Here is a 10,979-nt window from a genome sequence, read left to right as displayed (position 1 = left end):
CTGGCCAACATGGTGAAACCCCCTCTCTACTAAAAAAAAAATACAAAAATTAGCTGGGCGTGATGGCGGGCGCCTGTAATCCCAGCTACTCGGGAGGCTGAGGCAGGAGAATCGCTTGAACCTGAGAGGCGGAGTTTGCAGTGAGCTGAGATCGCACCACTGCACTCCAGCCTGGGCGACAGAACAAGACTCTGTCTTAAAAAAAAAAAAAAAAAAAAAAAAAAGTTTCCCTCCTAACCCTATCTGTTCAATACCTTCCCAACAGATAACTACTGTTCTTACTTTCTTATGAATCCTTCCAGAATTTCTTTCTGCCTATACAAGCAAGAATGCATATTCTTATTTTTCTTTTTTTATTACATAAAAGGTAGAATTGTATGATTTTGTAACTTGAACTCAGCATTAATCTTGAAGGCCTCTCTGTATAAGCAGACAGAGCTTCTCTATTATTTTTTTTTTGCATAGTCGAAGAGAGCTCCCTAATGTGAATGTACTATACAGTCACCCGTTGACAAGCATGTGGGCTGTTTCCAGACTTTTGTGGTTATAAACAGTATTGTAATGAATAATCTTGTATATTTTTCATTCCAAATTTGTGAAAATATATCTGTAGGATAAATTTCTTAAAGTGGAATTGGTGGGTGAAAGAATTATGCATTCGTATTTTCATTAGATATTGCCCAATAGATAATTCCATTAAGAATTCAACCACATTAACTTTATTTATTTAGTATGTTATTCATCTCCACAGCTGTGCAATAAACACAACGAAATAAGCCACTAAGGCAAACACTATGAAGAAGCAGAAAAAGTCATATTTTCAATTATAAAAATTTCCTAGGCTATGGAATATCTTATTCGTCTTTATAGGAGTCATAACTTCCTGCTCATTTTAGGCACTTTACAAATATTTAAGGAATTTCTTAAAAGTGCCCCTAGTAGTCTAGGAATGAAATACTTCTGAACTGAAAATGCAAAGTAATTTTAGGAACTAAAGCACACACGTTATCAGAAGACATTAGTGTAACAATTTTAATAGATAAGATGGGTGAAAGTACTGAGAAACCAAAAAAAAAAAGATTAGTGAATATTAAGAGATCCAAATTCGCTGGATGAATTAAACATCGTTTATAAGGCAATCTAAAAGAGGACTGGTTTTAAAGCTTTGGTTAAATGCAATAGCTTTTAGCAATGATGATAACAGTAAAATAAATAAATAAATAACATGCCAGAAGTTCTGATATAGTGACATAATGAAAAATGTTAAATGATAACTTAGAGCTAAACATCAAGTAAAAACCACACTAGCATATCTGAGACGTAGCCAGGAAGAAGATAGACTGATGGCAAAGTACCAGGTGGTGACATCAGAGGTACATCAGCTGATCCTAAAAGAGAATTATTTTAATAAATACTGTAATAACATTAAACAAAGTCCTTTACAGGAGTCAGTTAACTTTGCACAGTCAAAACCAGCTCCAAGCTTTAATAATAGTCAGCTATTTTGAAAATATGTGTTGTTAACTCACAAACATGAGTCAGAGTGTAGATGAGTTGATGAAAATTCATCACAACCAATGGGAAAATAACCAAGGCATGGTTTAAATTTAAATTATAAAAAATATTGGTAATTCCTACTGCTAAGGAAAATCAACTATCATACCAGCCTTCTGGTATAATTGTACCTTTACTTATCTATTGTTTCTCACCCATCATGGTCATATATTGGGTAATAAAAAGTTTATTCTGGAACATAAAATATATTTCTTATAGTGACATTGCCTAATAAAACTTAAATTTTCATTTAAGGCTTTCCATAAATTATACTAAAGTGGTTTTTAGAAAACAGTATATTATAAAGAAGGACCCAATAATACTCATGTGATGCCCTACTTTCATACTATGTATTTTTATTATCTTAAACATATGATTGCATAGTATCTAAAATACAACACAGAATGGAGACTTTTAATGTTGTAATTCTTTTGTTTATCTGAAATTATTATAACTAATGCTTAGTTCTAGAAATGTGGCTTTCAAGTCCTAGAATGGTAATTTACTTTTAATAATGGGAAAATAATAAATATGAATTCATGACAAATTTTGTATAGCAGCAATATGAAATCCATTGCTAGGTGATAATGTTTTTAGAAATTCTTGAGACAGCTCAAAATCCCTTTAGGATACAAAATAATTGGCATAAAACAGTCATCTCATTGAAATAATAATAAAGCTTATATGAAGCAAGTATTTATTTTATATTACTACTGAAACAAGTCTATATGCTATATATTTGCTGTCTACCTATCTATAGAGTGTGTGTGTGGGGGGGGGGGGTGTCTGTATAATCACCCCTTCTACATATTGTTGTATCCTAAGTGTCCAGTAGAGGGCTGGTACATGCTAGACACTGAGTAAATACTTGTTGAATGTATGAATGAATGAGCTGTCTGAAGGCCTTAGCAGTCATCTCCTATAGGAGAATAATCTAAAACTATAATCAGCTATCACTATCTCCAAAATCTGGACTTCAAATAGAATTTTGGAATTAATCTCCTTCAATTTTTAAAAGTACTTTACTTTTGTAGGTCTCTAGTAAGATTAGCATGATTAGCCCTGGTTATTCTATTGATGCTAACCTCCTATGAGGATTATATTTAAGAGCATTTAATCTGTCTCAAACAGTAAGTGGGCTACAGTAAAGTCATTTCACACTAATATTTAAGTTCACTCTATTTGGTATCAAATAACACATGCCTAATTATGCTTTAACTGATCTTGAATATTCTGAATATTCTCATCATCAGACTTGATGGTAAGGGTCTCCCCAGGGTAAACTTGAACCAATATAATCTAGAAATAATTCTTTAATGACTTCCTTTTCTATTACTCTATGAAAAATTATTATCTTTCTGAATGATATTTGGACTCACTAATTATGGGGGTCTCAAAGTGTTCAAGGAGAAGAGTACAATTGGATCAATGGACATTTAGATGAAATTTAATATCCATTAATAGGACCAGATCATTCCCCACCCAAGTAAAATTTAACATAATAAGGTCATTGAAAATGGGTGCATTAGCCAGGTGCAGTGGTTCATGCCTGTAATCCCAGCACTGTGGGAGGCCAAGGTGGGTGAGTTGCTTGAGCTCAGGAGTTTGAGACCAGCCTGGGTAACATGGTGAGAGCCTGTCTCTACTAAAAATATGAAAAATTAGCCGGGTGTGGTGGTGTGTGCCTGTGGTCCCAGCTACTATGGAGGCTGAGGTGGGAGGATCACTTGAACCCTGGGGATGGAGGTTGCAGTGAGCTGACATCATACCACTGCACTCCAGCCTAAGTGACAGAGTGAGACCCTGTCTTAAATAAATAAATAAATAAATAGAAAATGGGTGCATTCCATGGAATACTATGCAGCCATAAAAAGGAATGAGATCATGTCCTTTGCAGGGACATGGATGAAGTTGGAAGCCATTATCCTCAGCAAACTAACGCAGGAACAGACAACCAAACATGCATGTTCTCATTTATAAATGGGAGCTGAACAATGAGAACACATGGACACAGGGAGGGGAACAAGACGCACTGGGGCCTGTTGGGAGAGAGAGGGTGGGGTGGGGTGGAGAGCATCAGGAAAAATAGCTAATGCATGCGGTGCTTAATACATAGGTGATGGGTTGATAGGTGCAACAAACCACCATGGCACGTGTTTACCTATGTAACAAATCTGCACATCCTGCACATGTACCCCAGAACTTAAAATAAAATAAAATGGGTGCATTAACATAGAAAGATCAACTCCTTCTCTGTCCTGAAAAAAACCCCACAAGATGAAACACAAAACAGAGCTTCATATCTGAGGGTAAAATTCAGACATAGTTGTTGCATACAGTACTGAGGACAAGAAGACCATTTGGTATATCTCTTGGGATGAATCAACATTTGTGAATAATTAGCAATATACTGTGTTGCAACAGTGGTGTCTAGATGACTAGATACCAGGACACCAGTTTAAACTGTCTAGACCAGTTTAAAGCTGGACATCTACAATAAGACAATCTCTAATTAGGTTGGGCAGTCAAATTTCATCTTTATAACTCATAGGGATGGATGCATGCTTATTTTATTTACACATGACTTCTGAGAGTATTGCAGGAGTTTTAATCAAAGAAAGCAAATAATAAAAATAGTAGCAGTAGTAATAATAATAACATATATTGCTCTCTTATGACATGCTAGGTACTGTTCTAAACATTATTCATGCATTAGCTCATTTAATCCTTACTATAACCACATGAAGTTATTTTGTAAATGTTTATTATGTTATCATATATTGAGCATCTATTCTGTGATTTGCTTGTTCTGCGATTGTGTGGAATGTACAGTATCTTTCCTTTGCCATCCACCTGCCTCCCCTGAAGTTGCAAAGGTAAGTTTTTCTTCTAAGGAAGGGCATTTAGAAATAAAACAAATAAGGCAATCAATGTAGGTATTTCCCGAGTTCTGGCTTGTACCCTGCACATAGTCCTCCACCCTTACTCTTCGGCCTGCTATTATCATCTGGTGGCCAAAACAAAGAATTGACTTCAGATTTTTTTCCAATTCATTCCCTAACCTAATTCACTCTGTACCCTATTGTTTTCTATATTTATTTTTATTACTTAGTTAATTCTACCACAGACAAGATTTTTCTCACATACCATCTTAATTGTTTGGTCTTTCAACTCTTGCATAATTCCCACAAAAAATTTCTGTCTAATCTGTGAACCTCAAGAGAGAAAAAAAACCTTTTCTTTTTTTGGGGGGGAAGGATGAGGATATTTAATGGCAGCAATATAAGTAAAAATTTTTTTGCCTCTGCATATACTCTTTTTTTTTTTTTTTTTTTTGCTATTACAGCATACTTCTTTTTTTTTTTTTTTAATTCAGGCTGCTCTTGGATCTGTTAACGAGTCTGGGTGCAAGTGGAGGGTACGGTTTGCAACTTGGGGTTATGAAACTAACCACTTCAAACACAATTGTGTGTTCTGAGCCTCTTATGGTTGTTACTCTAAAAATGTAATGACAATTGTAAACTTTCAAATATTTATCCTAACATACATGATAAATTGCAAACTTGGGTTTCAGACATATTTCCTATGAGCTAAGTATAAGAAATTTACTAATAAAAATTTTCTAATAGAGCAAAGTTGAGTCCCTGCAAATAATGATTCTCAAAGCACTCTTACCTGTTCCAAATGAAAGAAAATGAACTAATGCTAGATATTGAGGAGGCTATTTTGAAGCTTGAAGGCAAGGTCACTTTGTTGGCAAATAGTAAGGCAGACTGAAGGAATTATAAGTAGTAACTGATACAGACTGGAGAGTCTGGGGGATATGGGGTGGTGTACTTTGTTTAGAATGAAGTTCTTACCTTAAAAACTAGGCCATGGATGGTTGTAGATCAACTAGGGTAAATGTAACTCCATCACCACTGTGAAGATAATCTTTGTTTACAATGGATCTCACACATATTTAAAAGCTAAGTAAGCAGTGCTAATCGTATATATTCAACTGACAAAAAAAGAGAAGCACAATTGAAATTTGGATAACTTTAACCCATTTTATGTGCATGCAAGATAGTGATTTAATAATTCATTACACTTTATTTGCATACCAAATTAATCCAGCTTTAAGAAATGAAATTTTACTATTTTACCATTGCGCATTCTTCACACTGTAATAGTGCAGACTTCCCTTCAACTAGTTTATTTTAAATAATATAGATATGAAAAGCCTCAAAGAAACCATGAATCATGAAATTTATTCATTCAGTCACCAAGAAAAATTTTCCTGGGGTGGGCACCTATCTGCTACAATGAATAGAGTGACTGCTCCCAAACAAATGCCTTCCTGAGCAAACAGTCACAAGTACCTAGGTGTGTTCTACCACCTTAAGAAACTCCTTCAGGCTACAGACTCTAAAATGTCCTCCAAAAAAAGGTAAAAAGATTGATACTTCCAAGCACAGGCCACTCAGGGTGACCAGAGGTATCGGAAATAATATTTTCAATTAAAAATAATAATTTTTATAAAGTGCATAATACCAGACAAATACCACCATGCAAATTCATACAAAAGACAATTTTACAAATAGCTTTTCATCACGTTACACCTTCCCATCCCCCTATCCAATATAGAAGGTTACATATTGTAATGCTTAGACTTAAAAATTTTAGCTGCTAGTTATAAAATAAATAAAACTGATCATTAAATGCAAATCAAACCACAATGAGATACCATCTCACACCAGTCAAAATGGCTATTATTTTATTGTTTTTGTTTCTTAAATTTTATTTTTACATAAGTTGTTGTGGTACAGGTGGTATTTGGTGACATGAGTAAATTTTTTAGTGGTGATTTGTGAGATTTTGGTGCGTACATCACCTAAGCCATATACACTGCACCATATTTGTAGTCTTTTATCCCTTGGCCCTTCCCACTCTTTCCACCCAAGTCCCCAAAGTCCATCATATCATTCTTATGCCTTTGCATCCTCATAGCTTAGTTCCCACATAACAGTGAGAACATACAATGTTTGGTTTTCCATTCCTGAGTAATTTCACTTAGAATAATAGTTTCCAGTCTCATCCAGGTCACAGCAAATGGTGCTAATTCATTCCTTTTTACGGTTGAGTAGTATTCCATCATATATATATATATATATATATATATATATATATATATATATATATATATATATATATATATACCTACCACAGTTCTTTATCCACTCATTGACTGATGGGCATTTGGGTTGGTTTCACGATTTTGCAATTGTGAATTGTGCTGCTATAAACATGCATGTGCAAGCATCTTTTTCGTATAATGACTTCTTTTCCTCTGGGTAGATACCCAGTAGTGGGATTGCTGGATCAAATGGTAGTTCTACTTTTAGTTTTTAAGGAATCTCTGCACTGTTTTCCATAGCAGCTGTACCACTTTACATTACCACCAGCAGTGTAGAAGTGTTCCCTGATGACTGCATCCGTGCCAACGTTTACTGTTCTTTGATTGTTTGATTATGGCCATTCTTGCAGGAATAAGGTGATATTGCATTGTGGTTTTGATTTGCATTTCCCTGATATTTAGTGATGTTGAGCATTTTTTCTTTTCTAATTTTTAAAGATGTTAAATTTCATTGTCCCAATACCTCTTATTGAATAACCCACATTTTCCTCATGGATATGGAATTTCACATTTATTAAATATCTGTTTTATTTTTATCCATTCATGAACGTTGGTTCTGTTTCATTTCTCTGTGTGTATACTTATTTCCACGCCTAAGAGTTTTAGTTATTCTAGCATTATAAATTTCAATATCTAGGAAAGCACAAATCTCCTGATGGCTTTTCTACTTTTGAATTTCCCTGACTTATTTATGTATATTTATTCTTCAAAAATGTCTTTATTATTATTATACTTCAAGTTTTAGGGTACATGTGCACAATGTGCAGGTTAGTTATACATGTACACATGTGCCATGCTGGTGTGCTGCACCCATTAACTTGTCATTTAGCATTAGGTATATCTCCTAAAGCTATCCCTCCCCACTCCCCCCACCCCACAACAGTCCCTGGAGTGTGATGTTCCCCTTCCTGTGTCCATGTGTTCTCATTGTTCAATTCCCACCTATGAGTGAGAATATGCGGTGTTTGGTTTTTTGTCCTTGCGATAGTTTACTGAGAATGATGATTTCCAATGTCATCCATGTCCCTACAAAGGACATGAACTCATCATTTTTTATGGCTGCATAGTATTCCATGGTATATATATGCCACATTTACTTAATCCAGTCTATCATTGTTGGACATTTGGTTTGGTTCCAAGTCTTTGCTATTCTGAATAGTGCTGCAATAAACATATGTGTGCATGTGTCTTTATAGCAGCATGATTTATAATCCTTTGGGTATATACCCAGTAATGGGATGGCTGGGTCAAATGGTATTTCTAGTTCTAGATCCCTGAGGAATCACCACACTGACTTCCACAAGGGTTGAACTAGTTTACACTCCCACCAACAGTGTAAAAGTGTTCCTATTTCTCCACATCCTCTCCAGCACCTGTTGTTTCCTGACTTTTTAATGATTGCCATTCTAACTGGTGTGAGATGGTATCTCATTGTGGTTTTGATTTGCATTTCTCTGATGGCCAGTGATGGTGAGCATTTTTTCATGTGTTTTTTGGCTGCATAAATGTCTTCTTTTGAGAAGTGTCTGTTCATTTACTTCGCCCACTTTTTGATGGGGTTGTTTGTTTTTTTCTTGTAAATTTCTTTGAGTTCATTGTAGATTCTGGATATTAGCCCTTTGTCAGATGAGTAGGTTGCGAAAATTTTCTCCCATTTTGTAGGTTGCCTGTTCACTCTGATGGTAGTTTCTTTTGCTGTGCAGAAGCTCTTTAGTTGAATTAGATCCCATTTGTCAATTTTGGCTTTTGTTGCCATTGCTTTTTGTGTTTTAGACATGAAGTCCTTGCCCATGCCTATGTCCTGAATGCTAATGCCTAGGTTTTCTTCTAGGGTTTTTATGGTCTTAGGTCTAACGTTTAAGCCTTTAATCCATCTTGAATTAATTTTTGTATAAGGTGTAAGGAAGGGATGAAGTTTCAGCTTTCTACATATGGCTAGCCAGTTTTACCAGCACCATTTATTAAATAGGGAATCCTTTCCCCATTGCTTGTTTTTCTCAGGTTTGTCAAAGATCAGACAGTTGTAGATATGCGGCATTATTTCTGGGGGCTCTGTTCTTTCCATTGATCTATATCTCTGTTTTGGTACCACTACCATGCTATTTTGGTTACTGTAGCCTTGTAGTATAGTTTGAAGTCAGGTAGCATGATGCCTCCAGCTTTGTTATTTTGGCTTAGGATTGACTTGGCGATGCGGGCTCCTTTTTGATTCCATATGAACTTTAAAGTAGTTTTTTCCAATTCTGTGAAGAAAGTCATTGGTAGCTTCATGGGGATGGCATTGAATCTATAAATTACCTTGGGCAGTGTGGCCATTTTCACGATCTTCATTCTTCCTACCCATGAGCATGGAATGTTCTTCCATTTGTTTGTATCCTCTTTCATTTCATTGAGCAGTGGTTTGTAGTTCTCCTTGAAGAGGTCCTTCACATCCCTTGTAAGTTGGATTCCTAGGGATTTTATTCTCTTTGAAGCAATTGTGAATGGGAGTTCACTCATGATTTGGCTCTCTGTTTGTCTGTTATTGGTGTATAAGAATGCTTGTGATTTTTGTACATTGATTTTGTATCCTGAGACTTTGCTGAAGTTGCTTACCAGCTGAAGGAGATTTTGGGCTGACACAATGGGGTTTTCTAGATATACAGTCATGTCATCTGCAAACAGGGACAATTTGACTTCCTCTTTTCCTAATTGAATACCCTTTATTTCCTTCTCCTGCCTAATAGCCCCAGCCAGAACTTCCAACACTATGTTGAATAGGAGTGGTGAGAGAGGGCATCCCTGTCTTGTGGCAGTTTTCAAAAGGAATGCTTCCAGTTTTTGCCCATTCAGTATGACATTGGCTGTGGGTTTGTCATAGATAGCTCTTATTATTTTGAGATATGTCCCATCAATAACTGATTTATTGAGAGTTTTTAGCATGAAGTTTTGTTGAATTTTTTCAAAGGCCTTTTCTGCATCTATTGAGATAATCATGTGGTTTTTGTCTTTGGTTCTGTTTATATGCTGGATTACATTTATTGATTTGCGTATATTGAACCAGCCTTGCATCCCAGGGATGAAGCCCACTTGATCATGGTGGATAAGCTTTTTGATGTGCTGCTGGATTCGGTTTGCCAGTATTTTATTGAGGATTTTTACGTCTATGTTCATCAAGGATATTGGTCTAAAATTCTCTTTTTTTGTTGTGTCTCTGCCAGGCTTTGGTATCAGGATGATGCTGGCCTCATAAAATGACTTAGGGAGGATTCCCTCTTTTTCTATTCATTAGAATAGTTTCAGAAGGAATGGGACCAGTTCCTCCTTGTACCTCTGGTAGAATTCGGCTGTGAATCCATCTGGTCCTAGACTCTTTTTGGTTGGTAAGCTATTGATTATTGCCACAATTTCAGAGCCTGTTATTGGTCTATTCAGACAGTCAACTTCTTCCTGGTTTAATCTTGGGAGGGTGTATGTGTCGAGGAATGTATCCATTTCTTCCAGATTTTCTAGTTTAGTTGCATAGAGGTGTTTGTAGTATTCTCTGATGGTAGTTTGTATTTCTGTGGGATTGGTGGTGATTTCCCCTTTATCATTTTTTATTGCATCTATTTGATTCTTCTCTATTTTCTTCTTTATTTGTCTTGCTAGCGGTCTATCAATTTTGTTGATCCTTTCAAAAAACCAGCTCCTGGATTCCTTAATTTTTTGAAGGGTTTTTTGTGTCTCTGTTTCCTTCAGTTCTGCTCTGATTTTAGTTATTTCTTGCCTTCTGCTAGCTTTTGAAAGTGTTTGCTCTTGCTTTTCTAGTTCTTTCAATTGTGATGATAGGGTGTCAATTTTGGATCTTTCCTGCTTTCTCTTGTGGGCATTTAGTGCTATAAATTTCCCTCTACACACTGCTTTGAATGTGTCCCAGAGATTCTGGTATGTTGTGTCTTTGTTCTTATTGGTTTCAAAGAACATCTTTATTTCTGCCTTCGTTTCGTTATGTACCCAGTAGTCATTCAGGAGCAGGTTGTTCAGTTTCCATGTAGTTGAGTGGTTTTGAGTGAGATTCTTAATCCTGAGTTCTAGTTTGATTGCACTCTGGTCTGAGAGACAGTTTGTTATAATTTCTGTTCTTTTTCATTTGCTGAGGAGAGCTTTACTTCCAACTATGTGGTCAATTTTGGAATAGGTGTGGTGTGGTGCTGGAAAAAATGTACATTCTGTTGATTTGGGTTGGAGAGTTCTGTAGATGTCTATTAGGTCCATTTGGTGCAGAGCT

Source organism: Homo sapiens, chromosome X, assembly GCF_000001405.40.
Source record: "Homo sapiens chromosome X, GRCh38.p14 Primary Assembly".
In the NCBI taxonomy this organism is placed as follows: Eukaryota; Metazoa; Chordata; class Mammalia; order Primates; family Hominidae; genus Homo; species Homo sapiens.
Note: the sequence above shows the minus strand (reverse complement) of the source record.